This window comes from Homo sapiens, chromosome 8 (genome assembly GCF_000001405.40).
Source record: "Homo sapiens chromosome 8, GRCh38.p14 Primary Assembly".
Taxonomy (NCBI): domain Eukaryota; kingdom Metazoa; phylum Chordata; class Mammalia; order Primates; family Hominidae; genus Homo; species Homo sapiens.
The window spans coordinates 133,463,138-133,489,306 of NC_000008.11; the positions used below are offsets into that span (position 1 = coordinate 133,463,138).

At 51.3% G+C, this 26,169-nt stretch overlaps 1 protein-coding gene across 7 annotated transcripts in view, besides 2 other annotated features; it reads right to left on the reverse strand.

The window, feature by feature from the left end:
- Positions 1–26,169, reverse strand: part of ST3GAL1 (ST3 beta-galactoside alpha-2,3-sialyltransferase 1) — a 117,040-nt gene that overhangs the window by 8,290 nt on the left and 82,581 nt on the right. For 5 of the 7 annotated variants that reach the window (XM_017013736.3, NM_173344.3, XM_006716617.3 and 2 more), the window contains 5 exons: positions 13,141–13,463; positions 12,582–12,937; positions 2,757–2,953; positions 1,641–1,820; positions 277–322 (listed from right to left, as the gene is read on the reverse strand). In XM_017013736.3, the coding sequence (XP_016869225.1) occupies positions 277–322; positions 1,641–1,820; positions 2,757–2,953; positions 12,582–12,887 (729 nt within the window). In that variant the 5' untranslated portion in view covers positions 12,888–12,937; positions 13,141–13,463. Of the gene's footprint in view, positions 1–276; positions 323–1,640; positions 1,821–2,756; positions 2,954–12,581; positions 13,464–26,169 lie in introns of all 7 variants that reach the window. The other 2 variants (NM_003033.4, XM_047422106.1) reach the window with 1 other exon arrangement.
- Positions 19,505–19,554: an enhancer, noted in NCBI's record as "active region_27996". NCBI's record gives its function as "activates an Ori minimal core promoter by ATAC-STARR-seq in GM12878 lymphoblastoid cells {active_cell/tissue: GM12878}" and the evidence as "EXISTENCE:reporter gene assay evidence [ECO:0000049][PMID:35858748]".
- Positions 25,344–26,127: an enhancer, noted in NCBI's record as "H3K27ac-H3K4me1 hESC enhancer chr8:134500724-134501507 (GRCh37/hg19 assembly coordinates)". NCBI's record gives its function as "activates a minimal SCP1, AML or CMV promoter by ChIP-STARR-seq in naive H9 embryonic stem cells {active_cell/tissue: H9 hESC(naive)}" and the evidence as "EXISTENCE:reporter gene assay evidence [ECO:0000049][PMID:30033119]".

The window sequence follows — 26,169 nt, forward strand, 5'->3', positions numbered from 1 at the left end:
GGCAGCCAGGGTTTCTGATTCAGTAGGTTCGAGATGGGCCTGAGGATGTCCATCTGTGACAAACTCCCGGGTGATGCTGCTGGCCCGGGGGACCCCACTTTGAGAATCTCTCCCAGTGTTTGACCTCTTCCCCCAGGGGGATAGCTAAGTGGGAGATGCTACCTCCAGCGGCCTGGGGATCTGGGGGCTGTCTTGCAACTCAATGCCGTACCTTAGAGCAGAGCCTTAGATGAGGAAGCCTGAACTTAGAACAGAGGGGCCGGGGCCTCCACTCACCTTATCCTGTTTCACTCTGATCTTTGCAGGAACCGGGATGTAGGTGCTGCAGTTGGAGAAAGAGAAGCTGGTTAATGGGGCAGGGGACAGGCCCAGGAACCTGGGCATGCAGCTCTGGGGGTAGTGGCTAGATAATGAAGCAGGCATAGCCTCTCCTGCCCCCCATAGCTTCCCTCAGGGACCCCCACCTCCCTACCCCAGCCGGGTTTCTGCCCACAGCAAGCCCCAATAGACACCAGAGGACGGCCTTTCCTAATTTGAGGACATTCTGCTGGGTTTTGGCCCCATTCCCCAAAAAGGTGAGGAGGACTTGCTCCAAGCACAGCCTTAAGGAGTGGAGTGGGGCCGTGGTGCCTCCACCTCTCAGGGCCAGAGCACCTTTGCCCAGCTGCTGGGGCACTGGCTGGTGAGGCCCGCGGCTGCCCCTTTCTCACCTGGGCGGTTGCATGCACCCTGAGTGCAAAGGTGCCAAAGCTGGTCCCACGGGTGTGATTCCTGCTCCCAGAGAGACTGCAGCTGAGCCACTTCTGGACCTGGGTCCCACCCCACCCCACCCCGCCCCGGTCTGCCTCCCTCACTCCCGGTCTCCTGAGGGCACAGCTCCACAGTCTCCTGCACCCACATCCGGGGGCTAGCTCTGTTCCTAGAAAACCTGGCAGAAGACAGACAGCTTGTGGAAACCTGGACATCAAAACACTTCCCTTCAGTAAGGGTCAGATGACAGCACAGGCTCTGTGTCGAGTTCAACCCTAGGCAAGGTGCTTGGCCGAGCTCCAGAGTCCTCACTGGGAGGAGCTAATGATAATGGCTATTGTGAGGATTCATTGAGATAATATGTGCCGAGTGCCACGTGCGGTGTCTGCTCAGGAAACTAAGCTCCTGATTGTCAGGGAAGCCACAGCCGCGTTGCTCAGCACTGCTTGCCCTGGGGAGGGGCCCAGGCTGCACCTGCACTCCCCACTCCTCATTTCTTAGGAACCCTCACCCTGCCACGCTCACATAAGTTTGAAAAATAAGGTGTTGTTATTTGTCAGGCTGCACTTCAGAAATAAAGGGAGGCTGAACTCACATGGGCTGACCCTTTCTAGTGGCGGCCCCTTCCCATAGAGTCTCCAGGGCGCGTGGAGGTCCCTTCAGGAATTGTTAGCAAGAGGACACTAAAGCTTGTGGTTTGTTAAGTGATAGGGAGAGAAGAGTTGGAGTAGTCGGGGAGGCGGCCACGGGAACTGGGCTTGTGTGTGCCGGAGGAGGCTGGGGGAGGGGAGGCACCCCGGTGGAGGCACAGCAGGACCACGGCAGGGTGGGGGGACAGGGTGCCACTGCAAGGGGCAGAGCAGCGAGGCGGGGCCACAGGAGGGACTCACTGGGAAATGGTGCCCGTGGTGATGGCGCTCACCACCCACTCCAAGTCGATGGTCTTGAAGGGCACCAGGATCATGCTGACATTATCTCCCAGCTCCCGGAAGCTCTCAGGGTACACCAGATGGTGGGTGGTCTTGGTCCCAACATCAGCTTCAAACCCTGCCGTGGGCGCCTTGTTCATCCTGGGAGAGAAGGGGAGAAAGCTGAGTCTTGTAGCACGGGCACCCGTTCTCAGACAGCCTGAGAGCTCCGAGAGAGTGAGCCTCCAGTGTGACTTCAGGGGTGTCACCTGCCTTCCCCGGGCCTCCTTCTCCTCATCTGTAAAATAGAGACAATGAAGACATAGCTGGAAGGCTTCTGCTATTTTTCTCTCTTTCATGACCTCAAGGGAGTCTAGCCATCACCACCACTGCCCGCCTGTCACAGACAATCTCATCCAAAGGATATTTCCACAGCCCTTTTTTTGCAGTCAAGGAAACCTGACTCTGATCCTTACCATGGATGTACCCATGGGACACCTGGTACACTGAGGCTCTGAGAGGCAGGTAAGTGGTCTAAGGACTAAAGTCAGGAATCACAGACAGGAGAGACTATTCTAGAAGGCTGCTGGGGATGGCCAGCCCCCACCCCTGCACTTCTCAGCGTGGAACACTTGTGAGTGGTATAGTGGGAATGGCAGGAGACCCAGGACAGACTTGGGGCATCTTCCTGAAATGTCTGTTTCACTTGGCGACAGGGGAAAATATATTTTACATAAAATATGTGGTTTTATTATGGCCTAGATTACAAAATGGGGATGAATTTTAAAGATAAGAGTCCTCACATTAATTTTGCCCTCTCCCCAGGCCTCCATGTGCCAAGCTCCCAACAACGGGGGACCTCCCGTGTATGGCTTCCTCTCTGCACGCAGAGGCCCTTCTAGTCCATTCCAATCCTGCAATGATGCAGAGATGGGGAAGCTGAGGCCCAGGGGGTGCAGTGTGGAGCCTGGGGTCCCTGGGTAAGTTCAGTCCCAGGACTGAACCTTGCCTTCCTGAGCCTGAGCCAAGATGCTTCCTACAGCTCCAAGGGGCCCCTGGGTGCAGCACGGTAGGCTTGGGAGAGGGTCTGGCACTCACCTGAGGACAAAGTCGTGACTGTCTATCTCAGGCCCATAAGAAGACTCCCTCAGGTTGCCCGAGTTGCCCACAACGGCGCAGCGCCGGCAGCCCACCGACCTCTTCTCCAGCATAGGGTCCACATTCCCAGGCACCACTCTGAACAGCTCCTTGATGGTGTCATTCAAGTTATTGGGCTTCTTCTCCCGCTGGAGCCTCTGTGGGCGGAGGACAGAAGGTGGTCAACCTGGCTTTGTGGCTCCAGCCTCCTGGCAGCAGAGCCCCTGAGCTACCTGCTGTCGTTTACTGGGGCCCTCCTGTTCACCCTTCTCTCTGCTGGGCCCCCGGAGATGGAGGCGGCTCACACACAGACACCTCCACTTCCTCCTTCAAGGAGACTAAGGGTTACTCAGGAAGTAAAGAGAGCATTCATGTATTCTGCAAGTGTTTACTGAGCACCTACCATGTGCCAGGCACTGCTGAAGCCGCTTGGGTGATCCAGCCACACCTGGACTCACAGGCCCCTCCCACTCCACATGTGATCAGCGTTTCTCCAACCTGCTCCTCCCTGGGGGCTCCTGTCTCTCTGAAAGGCCCTCCATCCCCCTACGTGTCACCACTTGAAAGAGAGAAAAATAGCAGAAGCCTTCTAGCTGTGTCTTACTCCCACCCTGCTCAGACACCAGGGCCCAGGGGTTGCGTGCTCCCGCTCAAGCCTTAACAAGAAGAGCGAGGAGTAGGTGGAAATGCCAGTTCTCCAGCCCCGGCCAGGGATGGGGGACAGAGCAGTAGGGACATCTGCCATCTTTCCTGCCTGACCCTCAGTTCCCCCGGCCCCAGCACTGCTGGGCTCCAGCCAGATTGAAGAATCAGCAGTTTGCTGGATGCACAAGGCTTCTGCGATCTGCCTAGCAAATTGTTTTCATCTTTTAAGACCTAGCCTGGGCCAGGTGCGGTGGCTCACACCTGTAATCCCAGCACTTTGGGAGACCGAGGCAGGTGGATCACGAAGTCAGGAGTTTGAGACCAGCCTGGCCAATATGGTGAAACCCCATCTCTATTAAAAATACAAAAAAGCCGGGCATGGTGGTGCCCACCTGTAGTCCCAGCTACTTGGGAGGCTGAAGTGGGAGAATCTCTTGAACCCGGAAGGCGGAGGTTGCAGTGAGCCAAGACAGTGCCACTGCACTTCAGCCTGGGTGACAGAGCGAGACTCCAACTCGAAAAAAAAAAAAAAAAGACCTAGCTCGAGGGTCAGCTGCTCGCAGATTGAATGCCAGTCTTATTCCAGGGTGACTAAATATTACTTATTTGCCCAGGTTAAGGGGTTTCCCTAGATGCAGGACTCTCAGTGCTAAAACCAGGATGAGTTGGTATCCCTATTGGCCCCCGGTGGTTTCACTATTGGCCCCCGCTGCATGCCCAGGCCCGCCCGTCACCTCAGGTGGAGCTCTGGCCACACTATGTAGTGATGCCTGTTGGTGCCTCAGCCTTCCTCACTCGTGGTAAACCCTGGAGAGATTTCATAAAAGTGTTGCATCTGACCTTGTCCCCATGCCACAGTGCTGTGTCATTTCACTGTGGGTGAGGTAGGATGCTCTGAGGCCAGAGAGGTAAGCAACTCATCCCAAATACAAACCAGGATTTGAACCCAGGCTTCTAGAAACCCACCAGCAGGTTTCTCCCACCACACAACCCTAACTCTGGCTCTTGGAATCTTGGCCTTTGGAAAGCCCAGACCCTGGATTTTGGGGTAGGGGTGATAAGCTGTGGGGTGATTCCCATCGGCTACTCCGGGCCCCAGGGGCAAGGGGTGGCTGGGAGAGGAAGGAGTGGCCAGCAGTGGCTTTGGCCACTGTCCAGAAGATGAGTGACCTGGGCATATGTAGGGAGATCCCGGGGCACCCAGTCCCCACTGCAATGGAAGGAATCGGATGCCCCAAGGGGAGGCACACAAGCAGAACCAGATTGCTCTTCCAGTTAAACCCAGGCAGCCTCTCCTCTGGCTTAAGACCGTTAGACACGTCATGGGAAGCAACATGATCTGGACCACACTTCACACCCACTGCTACAGTTATCATAAGTAAAAGGGCAAAACAACAGGTATCGGTGAGGATGTGGAGAAAATGGAACTCGTGCATTGCTGGTGGGGATGTAAAACCGTGCAGCCGAGGTAAAAACTGGGTGGTTTTTCAAAAGGTTAAACAGAACAGCCATGTGGCCTACCAGCTCCACTCCTACGTATATACCCCCAGAAATTGAAAGCAGGGTCTCAAGCAGATATTGGTATACCCATGTTCAAAGCAGCATTATTCATAATAGATAAAAGGTGGGAGCAACCCAGTCTCCAGCGATGGATGAATAAACAAACATAGTACGTTCCAGACATATGATGGGATATTATTTAGCTATAAAAAGAAAATTTTGAAATAGGTTACAACATGGATGGACCTTGAAAATACTAATATTATGATTAATGAAAGAAGCCAGACATAGAAGGAAAAATATTATATGATTCCACTTATGTGAGGTACCTAGAGTAGTCAAATTCATAGAGACAGAGAGTGGCAGCGTGGCTGTCAGGGGCTGGGAGGAGGAGGAGGTAAGGGGAAGTTACTGTTTAATGGGGACAGAGTTTTTGCTTGGGATGACAAAAATCTGCTAGTTATGGTTATAGATAATGGTGATTGTTACACACACTGTGAATATATTTAATGCTACTGAATCGTACACACACAAGTGGTGAAAATGATAAATATTATGAATATGTTGTCACACACACAGATGTGATATCCAGATAAAATGCCTGATTCTGATGGGATCATCCAGGGTGGCTCCATGATCCTGAATGTGCGGAAAACCCCCTGGAGGCTTGCTAAGGCACAGATCTTACTCAGTAGGTTTAAAGCTGGCCCCGAAATCCTGCATTTCTAACAGACTCCTGGGTGATGCTGCTGCCAGGGCTGGTGGGGGGACTACACTCTGAGAGCCCCAGGGTAGAGGACCACAGCCAGACTCCCCTGAACCTCCATGGAGGTCTCCAACTAGCAAGGGCTGCTGTGCCCCTTAGGCTTGTAAAGATGTGCCCAGGCCCAGGGGGTGGCCTTCCATCACGCCGCTACTTTGATTTGGGAGCCTGGCACCGTGTATCCATCATGCAGTGACATTTACTGAGTGTCTACTGGGTGCCACAGAGGCCTGAGAAGCCAGGACTCAAGCTCGGCCATGGACGTGTGTGGAGAGTATGCTGCCTGCTTCACACAGCACCACATCATCCTGCTGGACTCTGACTGACTTACTTTTCTTTAATGACTTATTTAAGAAAAATAAATTGATTGATTGATTGATTGATTTGATTTGATTTGATATGGAGTCTCACTCTATCGCCCAGGCTGGAATGCAGTGGTGCGATCTCGGCTCACTGCAACCTCTACCTCCTGGGTTCAAGGGATTCTCCTGCCTTAGCCTCCCAAGCAGCTGGGATTACAGGTGTGCACCACTGTGCCTGGCTAATTTTTGTATTTTTAGTAGAAACACGGTTTCACCATGTTGGCCAGGCTGGTCTCGAACTCCTGACCTCAGGTGATGAACCCGCCTCAGCCTCCCAAAGTGTTGGGATTATAGGTGTGAGCCACCATGCCTGGCCAAATAATAAAAATAAACTTATTAGAAAGGAAACCTCTCATCTCTACCACACGTAGAAAGCAAGAATTACCTGGCAGAAGTAAAATGGTAGTTGTACAATGCAATGAAAACAAAACTACTGTATTCGGTTGCAGCTCTACCCTGCTGCCTGCCCAGGCAAACTCTCCTCTCCCTTAGAACAAGGCTGACAAGCGCTGACAAGGTGCAAAGTAAGACACCAGGCCAAACTGAAGCCCCAGCACTGCAGAGACAGGTGGGAAGGAGGGACGGCAGAAATGACCTCCGGGCTCTGTGATGCGACTTTCTCTAGTGCCCTGCCTCACCTAACATCACAAGCCCCACGCTTCAGAAATCTCAGACCCATTCCAATCTTTCATTGGCAAAAGGGGAAATGGAGGCCCAGACCCTGGAAAGGGCTCACTTGAGGTCCCAGAGTGAGTGCAGGGCCAGGTAGAGCTCAGATGGGAAACTGGCTCTTTCTCTAGATTATCATAGTAAGTCCTCCCCACACCAGCTGAGATGGAGCAGGCAGGTTACTCCATGTGGCGTCACTGTTTTGGGAAAGAAATATTCTGGTTTTCTCTGCCTTTTGTCAGTGGCAATAAAAGAACAACAGTGCTGGCCAGGTGCGGTGGCTCACGCCTGTAATCCCAACACTTTGCGAGGCCAAGGCGGGTGGGTCACCTGTGGTCAGGAGTTTGAGACCAGCCTGACCAACATGGAGAAACCCGGTCTCTACTAAAAATACAAAATCAGCTGGGCGTGATGGTGCATGCCTGAAATCCCAGCTACTCAGGAGGCTGAGGCAGGAGAATCACTTGAACCCAGGAGGCGGAGGTTGTGGTGAGCCGAGATCACGCCATTGCACTCCAGCCTGGGCAACAAGAGAGAAACTCCATGCCAAAAAAAAAAAAAGTATGACAGTGCTACTGATATGAACACAGGACAGAGTGTTTGGAAGTTCAGGGACACGCCCTCTCCAGCCTTCCAGACTAGTTTCCAAGTATATACAATCAGCGCTCAATCTGCATACAATCAGCGCTCAATCAATGCCTGCCGCCTGGTGGCCTGAGCTCCTTGGGAAGCACGGGGCCTCGGGTCAGCTTCCCTGGAAGCAGAGGCTGGGGCACGGATGCAGGTGTCCATGGTGGGTGCTGTCTGGAGAGGGATGAGAAGCAAGGCAGGAGAAGGAAGGGGAGGTCTCCATGGAGTCAAGCACTGCAGGCTGGGGGCGAGGCGAGTGAGGAGTCGGGCAAGTGGGATAAGGAGGCCCACTCATGCCCAGGGGCACGGCCCGAGAGCGGACATCTCCTTGAAGCTGGAGCCCTGGGTGCCTCACCTCACCCTGCACTCGGGCATGATCCACAGGAACTCTGGAGCCTGTGCTATGGCAGAGTTTGTCCTGTCTTGAGGCACGATGGCTGGAAGTCCTCCCTATCCACAGGCCACACCCGTCCCGAGAGTGTTGGGAAGAGGTACCCGCGCTCCCTTCCCATCCTCCTTCCTCCTTCCACGGCCAATGAATGATGCATCGCCTTCTGAGAAGCCTCCCTTGGACCCTGGAAATATCAGTCTCTGGCCTTCCACACATGGGTGGCACCACTGGGGCCTCACCGCAGGCCTCATTCCAATCCCCAGCTGCTGTTGGTTTCCCTGGCCCCTTTGGCATCCAAGCAGCAGACACAAGCATGCTAGGTAGTACAGGCTCAAGATATGTCCATTGAATAAGTGAATGACAACTGCTAAAGCTAACACACATTCATTCATTCAACTCATCACAACTGAGCCCCTATCACATCCCCGGTGCCGTGTGGGGTGGACAGGTGGGGTGGACAGGTTAGCGCCGGGACAGGCGGTGCTTAGAAATGGCTCGTGCAGGACTCAGATGGCTCACCCTGAGCAGAAGCGCATGTTCTATGGTTGCCCTATGCAGGACCCTGTGCTGATAACCTGATAGGCAGCTTCTCACTGAGTTTCTATAATGGTTCTATGAGAAAGGTGATCTTATAGACCTATTTTACAGGTGAGGAAACTGAGGCTTACAGAGGTGAAGTGAGTTTCCCAGGACCAAAACAGTTTGAATATCCTGGGCCTGACTCCAGACCATGTCCTTTAACTACAAGGGGATCTGACTGTGCCCTTTGACAGTGGGTGACCTGGTAAGTGCAAAGTGAGGACAATGAGATACCTACACCCTCCTGGTGGTGGGGGTGGTAAGGGCGAAGCAGTGGTACCTGGAAAGCTGGGCCCAGGACCTGGCCAGAGTTGGTGCTAGGCGCCGGGTGGACAGTATGATGGTATTATTTTGCATTTGGGCACTGGGCATGGATGTCTGGGATGGGAAGATGCCTTAGGAGGGCAGGGGGCGGAAATCAGGGGAGGGTCGCACTCTTTCTGTCCCTTGAGAATGTCCCCTGCGTATCACAAAACGGTTTCCCAAGTTGGGGGCAAGTAGAGAAGGCAGAGTCAGCATTCGACATGGCTTGTCTCTGAATTGGACATGGGGACTGGGGAAGAAGGAATCCCTGTTCCTGGGTGTCTGGGACAGAGACCCGAGGAGAGGGTCACAGGGGTCAGTAGGTCCAGCCTGGGATGGTGGTGCAGTCTCTTCACTTGCAGGGCACGGGGCTGATTTGTAAACTCAACTCAACTCAATTTAACTCAACTCAACTCAACTCAACTAAAAGAGTGAGCCCTGGTGACTGCTCCTGTGTCCCTGTTCCTGCCAGGGCTGGGACGAGCTGGAATTGTGATGCCCACTTGACTGAGGAGGACTATGAAGCTCAGGGCAGGATGGGAGCTCGGGACCTCACATTCTCACCTAAGATTCTTCCAACCCCCTCAACAGTATGGGGGAAATCGCCCCCATGATTAATTATCTCCCACCAGGTCCCTCCCACAACACGTGGGAATTGTGGGAGCTACAATTCAAGATGAGATTTGGGTGAAAGCCAAACCATATCATGACCCAAGTCCAGTTCCATTCATGAAATGGTCCTGCCTGCAGGGGGGCCTTTAAGCAGAGCAATGGCGCAGCCTGGAGTTCTCAGGATGGCTTTGTTGTCAGATATTCCATGCCTGTATCCCGATTCTTTATTCAAAGCGTGTGGTTTCCGTATTATCTGTGCATTTTTTAGAACCCCAAAGCTCTAAAGCCCTGCTCCTTTCTGTTGATTTCCAGAGGGTGAAGCCCCATTCCTTCCAAGTGGCTGCCCTGGGATCAGCCACCAGAGGCTAAACTTCAGAAAAAGACTGCAGAGAAGGGCTGCAGGTAGGGGAAGACATCTGGTAAATGGGAAACAACTAAGTGGAAATATATTCAGCCTTAATTAGTACTGAAAAAAAAAAAAAACCCACCTAAGTTCAGTATTACTTGCCCATTAAACCAACAAAAATAAATACAATTGTTAAAACTAATGTTTGCAGGGTTGTAGAGAACCTGGTGAAGTAACATTTCTCCCATGTAACACGAAGGAGGCTGAGACTCAGTGAGATGAAGAGCTTCTTCAAAGTCACTCCTGATGGGACCTACAAACTCTGCGACAAAACCTAGGAACGCTGATGCCAGGCCCCAGTTCCTAAGTCTACATTATAGCCTGTGTTCTTTGAAGACACATGGCTTATATCCAGAAGCTGATGTTTTTCCCTTACGCCTTTTTAACCCTCCTGGGCGACACCAGCCTAAGAGTTTTAGAAACCGCCCTCCCCAAGAAGAAAGATCGATACTGTCTTGGTGATACTCTCTAATAACAGTTTTTAATACGGTATTTCCAGAGGTTGGATTTGATGTTCTCTTTTGCAAAAGTCACCTAACTTTTCTGAGTTTCAGTTTCCTTGTCTGTAAAATGAGGACAAAGGCCCCCAAGTTTCTCCTTTACCTGCTGTTGTGTAAGGTCCCTTCCTGTTTGGTTTATATAAACAGGCTGTGTAGTACCCTGTTTGTCCCCAAAAGGCCTTTGTAAACAGAATCCCATGGTGACACTGAACATCACAGACTCCAGGCTCTGAAGAGGAAGTTTGGACTTAACGTGGTCCCAGCAACTGCTGCTACAGGGGGAATCAGATCCAGAGAGGAGATGGGATGTGTGTGAAGCCACCTCTGCCATCAATGTGTCATTTTCCCAACCCTGCTGGTTCTCAAGGGAGGGCAACTTTGTGCATGCATGTGCACCCACACACACGCACACCCCACCTGGGACACCTGACAATGTCTGGAGATCTTCTGGCTATCGCAACTGGGGATGGGGCACTCCTAGCATTTAGTAGGTAGAGACCAGTGATGCTGCTAAACATCCTGCAATGCACGGGGCAGCCCTTGTGACTAAGGCTGATCCTGCCCCACAAGTCCATAGTGCTGAGGCTGAGAGCAGACCCTAATCCTTACCATGCCTGGCTCGCCACCTCCTTCCCTAGACCCTTGGATCTTTGAAAGGGAAAAGACCCTACCTGCCCGGTTCTCTGTTACCTCCCCAGAGCCCACCCCAGGACCTGCACACAGTGGTGCTCAACACAGATTAGCAAACCAGGACTCAGCCAGGTCTTTGGAAGCATAGCCCAGGGCTTTTGACCTTTCTAAGTCTCACACATGTTTTCTGTTCATTTCAAATAGACCTTCCCCAGAATCTACCTGGATAACCTCTCTGAATCCTTCATGATGAACCTGGCCATCACTCCTGTAGGAAGCCTTCTGCGATAACCCCAGGCTCCAAGGGGAGTTGGACATGAAGACCATCGCTCCTGTGCCCACTTCCTGCACAGCACCTATGGTCCTGGCTTGAGTTTGTCTGTTTTCCCTTCTCTCCCCATCACTCCTGCAACCCAAGAAAGGAAAGACTCTATCTTTTCCATCTCAATGTAGTGATGCTTGGCATATAGTAGGTGCTCAATAAATAAGACATGAACACATATATCTTGCTCTTCTTCGATCTATTTTGCATTTAACATGGGAATGACCTTTCAAATGACAAGATCAGATCATGAAACCCCCTGACAAAAATTCTACAGTGATTTCCTGTTGCACTTACAAGAAATCCCAGAGTCCTCCCCTGGGTCTTGCTGACTCTCAGGCCTCGTCTCACTGCACCTCCCCTGATTTACAGCCCCCCAGCCATGCAGAGCTCCTCTACTCCCCATTACATCCAGCAGAGGCCACCCTCGGGCTCTTGCACCCGCTGTCCCAGACACCTGCAGTGCATGGTCCTGCTCTTCTCATGGCTGCTGCCTTCTCTGCCTGTGGGTCTCAACTTGAGTCCTGCTGTCTCAGAGACCTCCCTGGTGACCCCATTTACAGAAGCCCCCTCTAAGTTTCTATGACAAACCTCATTGGATCTGTCTTCAAAGCACTTCTGTGTGAGCCTACCTTGTTTATTTCTTATCTTCCCCTCCCAGCCAGAATAAAATTCCATGAGAATAAGGATCTCTCTCTCTTTTTGCATTTCAATAGCTGTAGTGGGTGAAATAGTGGCTCCCAAAAAGATACGTTCAAGTGCTAGTCACCGGAATCTGTGAGCATGACATTTGGAAAAAGCGCCTCTGTGGGTGAAATTGTTGAGGATCTCTGCATGAGATCATCCTGGATTAGGGTGGGCCCTAAACCTGATGACAGGTGTCCTCATAAGAAAAGGAGAGGGACATGTGAGACATAAAGGGATACAGGGAGGAAGGCCCTGTGGAAGTGGAGGCAGAGGCTGGACTGCTGCAGCTCTGAGCCCAGGAACGCCCAGCACTGCCGGCAGCTGGCAGGAGCCAGGAGCGGGCCTGGGGCGGCTTCCCCCTCAGAGCCTCCAGGAGGAGCCAAGTCTGCCCATAATTTGTTTTCAGACTTCTGGCCTCCAGAGCTGCAAGAGGATGCACTTTTGGTGTTTTGAGCCATGAATTGTGCAGAAATTTGTTATGGCAGCCACAGGAAACTAAAGCCGTGCTTCCTGCTCTGACTTAGATATAATAGATCCTCAATAAATAGTGTGGGACAATAATCTGAATCCTACTAACTGCCTGGCAGGGCCCCAGGTGTACACGGGGACTGAGCATTTAACTCTGAGAGCACCTCACTCTCATTACCAGACCCCTACCCTCAGCCCAGACTCCCACTTTCAGCCCAGGCCTCCCACTCTTATCCAGATCCCCACTCTCAGCCCAGACCCCACTCTCAGTCCACACCCCAACTCTCAGCCCAGACCCCGCTCTCAGGCAGCATCTCACCAGCCACCATCGGTAGGTGTCGTCCTCCAAGAGCGCGTTCTGGGCGGTCAGCAGCGGCTGCATGGTCTGGTTGAACCTCTCATCGAACCAGGCCGAGAGCTTGCGCTGCCCGATGCAGTGGGTGCAGGTGCAAGGCCTGTGCTTGATCAGTCTCTTCAGGTTCTCGGAGAGCTCCAGGACCATCTGCTTGGGGAACCAGGTGGTGGCCACCATGGTGTGGGAGTAGTTCAGGAAGAAGGAGGTGAGGAAGATGAAGAGCACGAGGAAGGTGAGCACTTTCAGGGTCCTCTTCCGCAGGGTCACCATCTTCGCAGTCCTGATGGTGGCCTCCCACGATGGGTAGCAGGAACTCCCTCCTAAGAGAGGAGAAAAATGGAAGAAAAATCCCAGAGGTGGAGGCTCAATCAAAAGGGATGGCAGGAATTCCAAGGGAGGACACAAGGGCCGCTAAGCTCGACTTCACTCCTGCTGGGGGATGACCCCCAACTGTGTCCCAGACACGGCTGTGTGGTAGACCAACGCCATTCGTGGCATGTTGGCTTTGCTTGCATATATTTACCTTTTCAGAAAATAAAGTAGCCTATTCTTCTGCAATCCTTAAAGAGCTGATAATGTCTCTCGATCAAGCTTTAACCAGTGATTTCCTTTCACATCCAAAGAAGATAAGGGGTCATTAATCTCTGTGACAGTCCAGGGTCCCTCAGGAGCGAGGACCTCGAAGGAAGGGTGTTGGTATAGCGGGGAGGGAAACTGTCTCTGCCGTCCTCCTCCAACTGTGGTTTCTGACGATCCTTAATTAGGGCTTTTTCTTTCCCATCCTGTCGCCAGGGACATGGTGGGTACACAACCAGCTTGATGAAGGCACAGAAGGTTGTCTGTCATCTGCAAAGAAAAGGAGGAAGAAAACAGCGTGAGATTCTGTGATCCTGCTATAAAAAATGTTTCTCTCCACATCTCCACCAGGACGTATTCCGTGGTCTTCCTTCTGGTGTCATGCCAACCTGGCAGGTGGCTCTGGATGGTTTATCTACCTTTGTGAGCCTGAGTGCGTGCATACAATGGATGTTATCATCTCTTTGCAAGGTTATTATGGGATGCAGAAGGTGTCCCCTCCATGTTTCCAACAAGAACCTAGCACATTGACACACTCAACAAACATTTGTCAAAGAGCTCGTGATGCATGTAGGTACAATATACACAGGAATTGTTAAATGCATGTTATTTGCCTTTCTCTCTACTTCATTCTCTTCCAGATTTTGGATTTCAGCAACAAGCACAACAACAATGGTATGCTTAGAGAGTGGCCCAGGGTTCCTTTTACCTGGGCATTCAAGCTCTGCCAATTGGCCTCAGTTCCATAAAAAGGGGCTTTAGATGGTCCAGGTTCAAGTTCTGATTTCCCAGCTGTGGAGCCTTGGGAAAGTTATTTGACCTTCCTGACCCTCAGTTTCTTCTTCTGCAAAGTGGGATACTAACACCCCTACTTATAGAATGGTTATGAAGATAAGATAAAATGATGTATGCTGGGCTTCTGGTATCTATTAGGCCATTGCTGAACTTTAATTTTTCTTCTTCAACATGTGAATGAATCAATATTCTCTGATGATCCACTAAGAGCTGAGAGGATGAGATATTCATGCATACGTATCTCTTCAGATAATCCTCAGAATATACTGTCAGCTAGATATTAGTTTCCCTTTTTGTCTTGGAAGAAACTGAGACTCAAAGTGCTTAGATGACTTGCCTAAGGAAAGGAAGGAGCAGGATCCGAGTCCAAATCCACAGTCCTCTGATTCCTTACATCGGGAGGGGTTGGGGGACCAGGAACAGGGGGTTGGGGGGCTCTACCCTGGAGCAGACACCTGTCTTGTTAACTGGTCTTCAGATTACTACGGCTGGAGGGATATAGAGCAAGGGGGGAGTATTCTTTTGAAGAAGGCAAACAGGTACCTCTCAAATGCCCATCGGAGACCCCTCTGGCTCTCACCGACACCTTGGGATTTCTGTATGGTACAACTGTGGTTGCACGTCTGCCCTGGAGCGTGGTCTTTTTGGTCTTTGCTTGGAATGCTGAAGAATGGAAGAAATCTGATCGATTCCTCCCCATTCTCAAGGTGTAGATTGTCAATAAGCAGGGTATATTTTTTTCCAGGAAAATTAGAGTTGAAAGGAGATTGATCACCTTTTGGTAGAAAGGGGGACAGCTCCAAAACCATATTAAATCCACAGTGCCCTTCTGAAGACATCCAGGGCCCAAGATGCATAGGGTGCAACCCTCTACAGCTTCCAGAACTAGAAGCCCAACGTATGGAGGACAAGGTCTGAGCTCTGCAGCTCAGTTGGCAACGTCATTTTTATCCGGTCTCTGCTCCAGTTTTCACTTTTCATGACAACCTAGATTTTGTTTATAACCTAGTGGTGTCCACAGGTATCCCATCCAATTCTCTCCCCACCTGCCCCCATCAAGGAGCAGCTCTGTAATTTAAGTAAGAATAACTTCTGCATCATCACAGATAGGCTCACAATTCACTTGACTGGCAGAGGGTTCCCACCTCTTACCCCAGTAATTGATCCAGGGATGGGCATGTGCCTTAATTCATCCAGCCAAGCTTCTGTAGGGAGGGAAGAAACTTTCTTTTGCTCTGGCTGGCTTGTTGTTGACATGTGGAACATCCTGCTGGCTATTTTGCTAGCGTGTGTAGAAGAGACTAGAGCTGAACAACCCGAACAAATGGTGCTAAATCCCTGATCCTGCTCAACCTGCAGCCCCACCCTCACCTTGACTTTTCAGTTACATGAGGGAATAAATCCCCTTTATGGGGTAAAGTAGGTTATTTGTAACTTGAAGCAATGTGACTGACCCAGAGGTCACAGTTGCTCCTACCTCCGTGTCCCTGCTCAGGCTGTCCCCACTGTCCAGAAAACCACCCCACCCTGCTTTGCCGATGGCTCTTACTCATTCTCTAGGGCTCAGCTGGTGCTGACTCCTGGAGGAAGCCCTGCCCTCTCCTGGGGTGAGTTAGGGGCCTCTCCTGGCTCCCTAGGGTCCTGGCTGCACTCTGTCTGTGCTCTTCACACATATGTCTCCTCCCTGGACTGGGAGCAATGTGAGGATGGAAACTCAGCCTCACTATGGCAGTGACCCTGTCACCCGTGCACACACTCAATGCTCAGTGGAGGCTTGGGTCATGAAGAAACCCAGAAATGAATGAAGGGAAACAAAACGGCCAACAGTCCAGAGGGAGAACTGAGAAAGAAAGCACAGACTCTGAGTCACATTTCCATTCTCAGCAGCCTGTCCCACACTACTCACTGCGTGACCATGAACAAGTCACCTAGCCCTTCCGAACCATCCCTTCAATGGGAAAAACGGATTGATAACACAAATTCTGCTCATTTCTCGGGGCCGTCAGCCCATCAAGGTTGTCCATTCATCTCATTCATTGACTGCATATTTGCTGGTCCTTGCGTTCTCCAGGCCCTGGACAAGGTGGCTGGGGTGCATCGTAAAAGGATCTAAGGTAGGCGCCTCCCAGGCATCAATAGGGCCCCAGACCCTGTGGAGCAAAGGAGGCCTGTATGGCTGGATCAGACACAGTGTGGAGGAGAGGAGTGGGTGGGGGGTGAGGGGGAATCTGAGCATGCAGCTGGGGTGAGAGTGTGTTGGGCCAGAGAAGCCACAGTCAAGACTAAGTTTTCTCTGGGTGACATAGAAACCTGCTGGTGGGGCTGAGCAGAGGAATGCCATGGTCTTACTACATTTGCCTTTATAATGAGCAGGGCCTAGGACACCCTTGCCCTTAGTGCCTCTGCACCCCTAATGCCAGGGCAGAGATGAGTTCCCTGAAACAGATGACTGTTGATCCGTGTTGATCAAACAAGGCTCTGGATGAGAGGTCAGGTTTCCTACAATGTCCTGCCTCTGCGTGAGAGATATTAATGCTCTAGGCTGCTGCTAGGGATGGCGTGAGAGGCAGGGCAGAGGGCAAGGTTGTGCTGCACAGGTTGTGGGACTGTGACAGCCTCCTCTCCTCTGGGGCATCCTGCAGCCACACCTCCAAGGCCAGGGCACTCCCCATAACCATCAGAGGCTTCTGAGCTGGTATCATTTAGCGCTTTCCAAAGCCCTGGATAAAACTGCAATGGAAAAGCAAGAACACCGCTATACCCCTTCCCTGGCTGCAGGGAAGAAACCAGGACTGCATGTCTTCTCCGTGCTCTAGCAAGCGTGGGGCAGCCTGCAGGCATGGGGGAATGCCAGCCCTGGCTCCCGGAAATGACATCTGGGCCAAGACGCCACAGACCAAAGATCTCTGCATGTCAAGTGTGCGGTGAGGGAGGCCGGGCCCCCCAGAACAAGGAGAAAGAAGAGAGGGAGCAGGGAAGGATGGGGAAGGAGGGAAGCTGGCTCCCTGTCCTCTGCCAAATGGCAGTCATTTCCCAGCCACATGCTCAATACGAGGAGGCATGAAGCACCTGCACACAACAGAGCTTAGCGGGGTCACCAGCACAAGACTGACAAATGTCAGCACACTTTTGGGGACTGAAAAGTAAGAATTTCCCTAAGGAGAGTCCCTAATGAAGATAAACTCCTCTGGCAATAGGGAGTTGAGGGGCAATGACCAGAGACTGAGAGAACTGTGTGAAACTCCTGGAAACACAAATGAAGGAACCACACGGGGTTTTGAACCTGTAGTAAATACCCACTGAACGGGATGGTAGTAAATACCCATCACAGGCTGGGATGCCCTCCCAGCCCTTCACACAGCCCCTGGCACTATGGTCACTAGAGAAATGCCTGAGCGAACTGTGCAGGCTGTTGGCAAAATTGACGCTTTCAATACAGAGTGGCCACAACTTTCCTCATGTGATCCCCAAGCCACCAGGAGAGGTGGGTAACCCTTACGCTTGTCTCCCTGAAATGAAAAACTAAAACCCAGAGAAGGCAAGTGACTTATCCAAGGTCACACAGCAAAATGGTAGCAAAGGCAGACTCCTGCCTTCTCCTGTGGCTTTCTGTGTAGCCGTGGCTCATCATTCAATTCCATCAATACCTGCTCTTATCTTCCCTATCTTCCCCATTCCCTTTCTGATAACTTCTTTGGACTTGGTTTACTGTCATCTTTCCAGCCTTGTTTACTCCCCCTTCTTGCTGTGCCTACTCTATTTGAATTATGAATTCAGTTCTTCATTTCAGTGGTGTCTTTTAGTTCTGGAATTTCTACCTAATTTTTTGACAGGTTCTACTTTGCTGGTGAATTTCTCCACCTTGTCATCTATCTTTGTGCAATTTTATTCACCACAGCCGTCTTAAAGCCCACATTGGATATCCTGTGATACTTGGATAATGTGGGTGTATTTCTATTGTCTATTTTCTCGGTTGCTCTTTCTTTCTTTGGTTATTTGGTTCTGTCCTTGGCAGGCCTGGTTGCTGTTTGTATTGTGTATGACAAAAATGCAGAGGCTCTGGATGAGGCTGTCCTCCTTCAGAGAGGACCGGTTGTCTCCTGATGAGCAGGTACAGAAGTGGCACATTACTTTGTTCTAACTGCAGCTGTGTTTCACTTTTCATGAAGACTGGTCTATTTCTGGTTTACTCTTACCCCTGGGGCATAGCCGTTCTCAACAGGTAAACCAAGATGCTTATCAGGGTGACTCTTCCTTACAGGCTCCTATCTCCAATTTCTGTCTCCCCTGTACTATGAGATCACCGTAAGCTTAACTTTTTAGCCTTTCTTTTTTGTTTGTTTGGGTTTTTTTGTTGTTGTCATTGTTGTTGTTGTGTTTTTGGTTTTGAGATAGAGTCTTACTCTGTCGCCCAGGCTGGAGTGCAGTGGCCTGATCTTGGCTCACTATTACCTCCACCTCCTGGGTTCAAGTGATTCTCCTGCCTCAGCCTCCTAAGTAGCTGGGACTATGGGCACATGCCACCATGCCTGGCTAATTTTTGTATTTTTAGTAGAGACGAGGTTTCTCCATGTTGGTCAGGCTGGTCTCGAACTCTCGACCTCAGGCGATCCACCCACCTCGGCCTCCCAAAGTGCTGGGATTATAGGCATGAGCCACCATGCCCAGTCTTTTTAGCTTTTCATCTGCTGTTTTCTGCTTGGTTTCTTAGACTCTGGACCCATGAAACTTAAGTGCTGGCAAATGCCTTGAAAGGAAAATTTTAGAAGGCACAGAGCACATGTTCTTTTCTTTGTGGTTGTTTTTGCTCTAGGTTCTTGGTTCCTTGGGTTTTGGTTGACCTAGCAGTCCTGAACTCACTGACTCCCTCTACCTACCTACCTATCTCTGTTTTGTTTCCCCACCTTGCGAGACTGCCAAACACTCTGAACTGCTGCTCTCTGCTCGTCCTCTGAACCCTCTGCAAAAATCAGCACATACCTCGTGCAGAAAATGAGCAGGGAATATTGGGTTTCTCCCAACTTATTTCCTTTCTCTTGGGGGGTCTTCGCACCTCAAGTCCTGGCTGCTTTAGTTGTTCTCTAATGCCTTCAAAGAGCTGGATTTCAAGTTTTTCCAGCTTTTATAGTTCTCAGTGGGAGAAAAGATCTGGTACAAGCTTCTGCCATTGCCCAAAGTAGAAGTCACAGCATCTTTTCTTTGCCTTTCCATGTTCCTGTTCTTGGAGTGGTTGCCTGTATGTGTCACGGGCGTGGCAAATTCAGAGAAGAGGATGGGGCCCAGAGAGGCCCCAGAGGTGCCGAGGCAAACCTCCTCACACCAGCCAAGTGCACAGATGGTGGGAGGAAGAGGCAGATCTGCAGGCTGGAAAGTTGCAGCTGCAGCCATGGCAGCCACCACCTCCCTGCCCCACCCAAGCGGCCCCACTGCATCTGCTTTCACTTTATGTCAGAACCTCCTGCTCCCAGGCCAGCTCTGCACAGACAGTGAGATGACTTCCAATGCAACACATCCGGGGACTTCCCATTATTGAAAAACAGATCCTCCCATGTCCTGGCCTTTGGGATCCTGGCCGGCTGGCTTCATGTATGGGCACAGGGTGGGACCAAGTAAGACCTGACCAGTAAATCTTGGATACTTAATGGCCCTCAAACCTTCCAGTAAGAAGAATGACTCCTTTCTGAACTGCTGTCCGGCCCATGCCTGGTCACTGGACGCTTGGAACCCATTTATTCTGGTTTTGTGAAGAATTTCCTAGTGGATCATGGCCAACAGTTGTCAACAACAACAACAACAACAACAACAAAGGCATGAGAGACCTGCATGCAAATCCTGACTCTTCCCATTCCTGGCTGTGTGTTCATAGGCAAGGCACTTGCCCTCTCTGATCCTCAATTCCTGAATCTACAAAATAGGATTAAAAATGCTCACGCAGGCCGGGCATGGTGGCTCACGCCTGTAATCCCAGCACTTTGGGAGGCTGGGGTGGGCGGATCACTCGAGGTCAGGAGTTCGAGACCAGCCTGGCCAACATGGTGAAACCCTGTGTCTACTAAAAATACAAAAATTAGCCGGGTGTGGTGGCAGGCACCTGTAATCCCAGCTACTTAGGAGGCTGAGGCAGGAGAATCGCTTGAACCTGGGAGGTGGAGGTTGCAGTGAGCTGAGATTGCACCACTGCACTCCCGCCTGGCCGACAAAGTAAGACTCCATCTTAAACAAACAAACAAACAAAAATGCTCACACGAAGCGTTGCTGTGGGATAAATGGCCTTGCACAAAAGTGAACAGCTCAGTTCCCGCCACAGAGTAGATGACCACAAAGGTCAATTCTGTCTCTCCCCACTAAGCTTCAAGGTCCTCATTTGTAAACAAAAAGGAAAAAGTCCAGCAGAACCCTTGGCCTGTCCTACTCGCAGGGTTATTTAAAAGACCAAATGAAATCAGGCATCAAATCATGCAAACCAGTGGTATTACACAAATGATGATTCTGGCCGAATTCATTATTTGTGTGAATTCCTTGATGTGCTGAACAGCTAAATCTTCATGCTTTCTACTCCCGTGGCCAAGACCTCCCAGGACCTGCAGGAAGGAGCTCCTAACACACTGGGGGAAATGTCAGGGTTCCCAGGGGCTCCCAGACCCAGACTCTGCAACAGCCTTGCCTTGGGTCAGGAGGCAGCTGGTCCCAGAGGCTTATGTAGAGAGTCAGGCCCACCTGAGTTTGCCACCAGCTTTGATCTTCCCCAGGAAAAGGTTCCTCAAAATTGCTCTGGTAGCTCCAATTTTCCACTCTCCAATCAGTCTTTTTTCCCACACACTTGGAAACGCAGATGCATTGTCTTCTGAAGTATCCAAGATTTACACATCCGCAGGAAAGCCTGGCCACCTCACAACCTCCGACTGCCAGTCTTGAATTGGGGGTCATCTCTTTTTTTGCATTGTTTTTTATAGTTTGCCAAAACAGTCACAGCTGCCATCCATTTGACCCTTTCAGCAGCCCCATTCACTGGGTGGTGAACAGAATATGGGTATTGGGGGTCAGCCAGATCTGGGTTTGATTCCTAAATTTCCGACCTCCTAGCTGAGAGGTCTTGGGTAGGGACCTCGTCTACCTCATCAGGCTCAGGGCCTGCACCAGCAAGATGGGGAAAATCACATCTCTTCAAAGGTTCACATGAGAGTTAAGTGCATAAATGCTTCACATTTAACAGATGCTTAATACACGGGAGTTACCTTCACTGTCAACTTGCAGACAAGAAAACTGAGGCTGAGGGAGGGCAGGCACCTGGATTGAGTTAAAACAACTAGGAGATGGCAGAGCCAACTTGGACCAGGTCTTTTGTATCTTTGGGATCAATGTCTAAACGTTTCTTTCCTCCCTCCTTCCTTCCCTCCTTTCCTACACACTCTGTGCTCGGCATGGGTCCCCAGGAAGAAGATGCTGTCTCTGGAAGCTGAGTGTGTGGAACTTCCACATGGAACTCTCCCAGCGCAGTCCCTTGTGCCCCTGTGTTATTACAAGGGAGTGTGTCTGACCTCCACTTTAATCCCTCATTTGGAGAATCAGCCTAATAAGAAACCTGGGCCAAGTGAGTCAGAGCTAGAGGCACCTGGTTGGAAGCCTTGCTGGGCTTTAAAAAGCCCACCCCGCCCCAGGATTCCTGCCACCTGTCCATCCCCCTGAAGCTAAGGGGTACTCCTGGCCTGATACCGCTGACCCTGGGTGATGAGGCCTTCTCTTTGCTGATGTCCTTAACCCTCCCTGCTCCCTGGGTATCACGCACTGGGAATTGTGATGGGAGACTGTTCAGAAACATTTAAGAACTCAGCAAACTTGTAGCTATGATCAACGAATAAGGCTAGAAGCTAGAGTGGTATCTGCAATCCACATGGCTCAAATCCCATATTGAGAGTTGCATCAATCCTGCCTGCATTCGAGGGTTCTCAGGGCACCCTGTTTCTTGCTGCCAGCAGGGGTTCCTATGCTGGCCACTGTCTACAGGAGTGAGAGTTTGTTCCCACTCGCTGTGTGCTTCCCCTAACTGCAGGGGCTGGAAGCCTGGGAACTACATTTCCCAGCATCCCTGTCCATAGCGCTTTGGAAGTAGTTGAGATCTGACCAGTGATAGCTGGGACGGGCAGGTGGGCGAGGCAAGAGCCTTCCTTCCTCTGGCAGTGGTAGAAGCTGCTGTGTAGCTGCCCCAGAATCTGGACTCCAGAACCTGCCTTCTTCTACCTCCAGGCAGCGGGGCAGCTGCAGATTCTGCCCTGACTTCCTGAAGCTTCGTGGCCTGTGGGCCTCAACCTGAAGCATTGCAGCCCAAACCCTGGAGGTCCCCCATTCTCACTGCCCTTCCAAGAACTTCATAAGCACCTGGATCCCCGAATCAAATCCTCACGCTTCAAGCTGCTGCCTCACTTCAGTCCACAGATGTGGAAGCTGAGCTCAGAAACGGGAAGTGACTTTTCCAAGGATACACAGGAAAAGTGCACCAGGGCTAAAGAAAACCAGATGCCCAAGTCCCAAGACCCGCTTGACTCCTTAGAAAAAACCTGCTGTATTCTACAGGGTGGCTACCCCGGAGTAGGTGTTCTTCCCATTCCCAGGGGCAGGATCTTAGGAGGTGTCATGGGCTGCAACTGAAAAGAGAGGGTGGAGCTTTGGGGGGGATAGAAGGTCGGGAGTTGGTTTAGCTGCTGCCACAAGGGGTGGGGGGCTGTTTGCGGTGACCCCCAGGAAGTTACATGGGCTGCTGAGCCTCAAGTTCCTCATCCATAAAGCGGGGGTTAAAAACCATCCCTACTTGAGGTGACTGCACAGAGCAGTAATGTGTCAACACTGAGGACACCTACCATCACCTTTGTCTTTTCTATACTGTGTTCTAAGCACAATACCGGTGCACATTGGCTGGGCCCACAACAAGCTCCCGATGAAGGTACTGGGTATCATCTCCAGCTTTCAGAGCTGGGACAGAGGCCCACAGTGGTCAAGCCACCTACCCAAGGCCCTCGGCCGGTAGGTGTAAAGTCAGGATTACGGCCAATGCAGAATCCCAACTTCACACCTACTGGTGTGAAGTGGATGGTGCCAGGCTGAGGTCGGCCCCTGCCCTGGGCCTCCTTGCTGTCTGAGCTGTGGAAGAGGAACCAGCCTATCCCCACTCCATGGTGGCACTGTGAGCACTGAGTGGGCTTTGTGTGTGGCGCAGCTCAGGGCCTGGCAGGGGCGAGTGTGAGCCCTCCCTTCCCTTGTTTTGTTTTCTCCTTCCAGCTGGGCTCCACCCGCTCTGAGTCACCCCTGAAGCTGACAGCTGTGCTCTCATGGCCGAGCCAGGCCTGGACCCACTCAACGCCGCTCTCCTCCCCTGGGTCAGGAAGGATCAGCCGTGAGGGGAGCCAGACCCGTTTCCCTCCAGAAAACATCATCCAAGAGAAACAGGGCCACAGTGAGGTGAGGCCTGAGAGGAGGTCCTGGCCACTGCAAGGTAAACAGGTGATGACAAGCTCCCTGTCAATGGCAGGACTGGGGTGGACATTTCTCTCCTTATGTCGATTAAAAAAATCAGTCTCGAATGAAGCCAGCCAGCCAGCAACTGTGCTGCCCTGAGGCTCCCTGCGCCTCCCAGGAGAGGAGAGAACACCCACCCCCAACCCCAGGGACAGCAGCCACGGAGCACAGCGTGACTTGGGCCACTTCAGAAGCCGAGGCCAGTCAGCTCCTCATCTGTAAAATGCAACAATGATCCCAGCCCCTGCTCACCTAGACTTGGCTAATTGAACAAATTAATGACTATTGGTTAGTCCTGAGAGTCACTTTCTTACTTCTTTTTTATTGAGACGGAGTCTCGCTCTGTTGCCCAGGCTGGAGTGCAGTGGTGTCATCTTGGCTCACCATAACTTCTGCCTCCCGGATTCAAGCGATTCTCCTGCCTCAGCCTCTCGAGTAGCTGGGACTACAGATGTGCACCATGCCTGGTTCATTTTTGTATTTTTAGTAGGGACGGGGTTTTACTATGTTGGCCAGGCTGGTCTCGAACTCCTGACCTCGTGATCTGCCCACCTTGGCCTCCCAAAGTGCTGGGATTACAGGCATGAGCTACCACACCGTACAATCATGTTACTAATAATCTTGAATATTTAACACATATTGGAAACAATACTATTGGTATATATATATATATATAGTGCTTAGAACAATTCCTGACCATCACAAAAGAATATTTAACATTAACATTAACATTAGGAAAATGTCACCTACCCAGGATCATCATTCCTCTGAGAAATTCAGAACTGCATATGTGTGTGTGTGGATAATGGCTAGTGGGGTTGAAAATGAAGAAGAAATGGCATGTGTGAGTTTCACACCTACTACATGCAGACCCTTTACATACAGCATCTCACTTTGTCTTGGCAACATCTCTGACTTGGACACTGCCAAGCCCCTTTGTGGATTCTCGCTCTTGCTTTCATTCTTTCATTTGACAATTACTCACTGGGCTCCGGCCATCTAGCAGTTGCTGTCAAGTGCTGAACAAAACAAAAGTTAGACAAAGTAGAATGGCTGGGTGTGGTGGCTCATGCCTGTAATCCCAGCACTTTGGGAGGCTAAGGAGGGTGGATAACTTGAGGTAAGGAGTTCAAGACCAGCCCAGACAACATGGTGAAACCCTATCTATAAAAATACAAAAAAATTAGCTGGGTGTGGTGGCGGATGCCTGTAGTCCCAGCTACTCAGGAGGCTGAGGCAGGAGAATTGCTTGAACCCGGGAGGCAGAGGTTGCAGTGAGCCGAGATTGCACCACTGCATTCTAGCCTGGGCAACAGAGCGAGACTCTGTCGAAAAAAAAAAAAAGGAGAGAGAAAGTAGAATGATCTTCGTCCTTGCTCACTGAAAGCAACATCACAGGGTGGGACAGAGGCTGAGATTATTAAGGAATCACACAAAAGACCAGCTGTGATGGTTAGATTTAATGTATCAGCAGGCATGTGGCTTGCCCCTGTCATCCCAGCTATGTGGAGGCTGAGGCAGGAGGATCACTTGAGTCCAGGAATTCAAGGCTGCAATGAGCTATGATCATACTCCAGCCTGGGGGAGCGAGACTTATCTCTAAGTAAATAAATAAATGTAATGAGCCAGCTTGGCTAGGCCATGGAGTCCAGTAGTTTGGTCAGACACTCGTCTAGGTATTTCAGGGAAGGTAGCATGCAGATGTGGTTAAGCTCTCCAATCAGTTAACTTTAAGTAAAGGAGATGAATGCAGGTGGGCCTCATCCAATAGGTTGAAGGCCTTAAGGGCAAAAACTGAGGTTCCCTGGAAAAGAAGAAATTCTGCCTTAAGATTGTAACAGAGAAGTCAAGTCCTGCCTGAGATTTCAGCCCTCTGGCCTGCCCACCAGGTTTTGAACCTGGCAGCCTCCACAACTGCCTGAACCAGTTCCGAAAGTTGAATCTCTTAATATGCATACACAAATATGGGATAGGCTCTGCTCCCCTGGAGAGCCCTGACTGGCAGCCTTCAGTGCCACGAGCAGAGGGCGTAAGAGGGACTGGCTGATGTCTGGGGGAAGTGGTAGTGACTGAGGGTCCACAGGGTGGACAGGTGATTGGGCAGGGAGTGTGAGAGCCTCCCAGGCAGGGGAAGCTACAGGTATGAAGGCCTGTGGGGACAGTAGGTGAGTCCAACGAACTGAAAGAAAACAAAGTCAAGTGGATTGGAAGACTGCAGCGGCACTGGCAGACAGGGGGGGCCAGGCAAGGTCTGGTGGCCCCCCTAAAGTCTGGACAACCTCCTGGGAGCCACAGGAAGCCCTGGAGGAAGGCCAGAGGGAGAGAGGGAACTGGGGACAGGCAGTGACTGCCTTGGCGCCCTCCCTGTGGGACAGCCAAGGGCTGATGGTCCCTTGCTCCTGTCAAATGACCCCATCCACACATTAGCTGTGTCCTGGGGGTCTCAGTAAGTCTATGTCCTCTTGTCCCTTCAGCCCTAGGGTTGGAAACAGTCCCACCATTTCCAGCCCCAGGGACTGCACCACACTTGCTGTTTCCTACACCACACTATGACCTTGTGAATGACCTTTCAACTCAGCTCCCCTCCACTGCCCACTTTGAATGCACCATTTGTGTCCTGCCAGCACCATGACCAGTCCAGGTGACCCCGCAGACCTAACTCCAAGGGGCA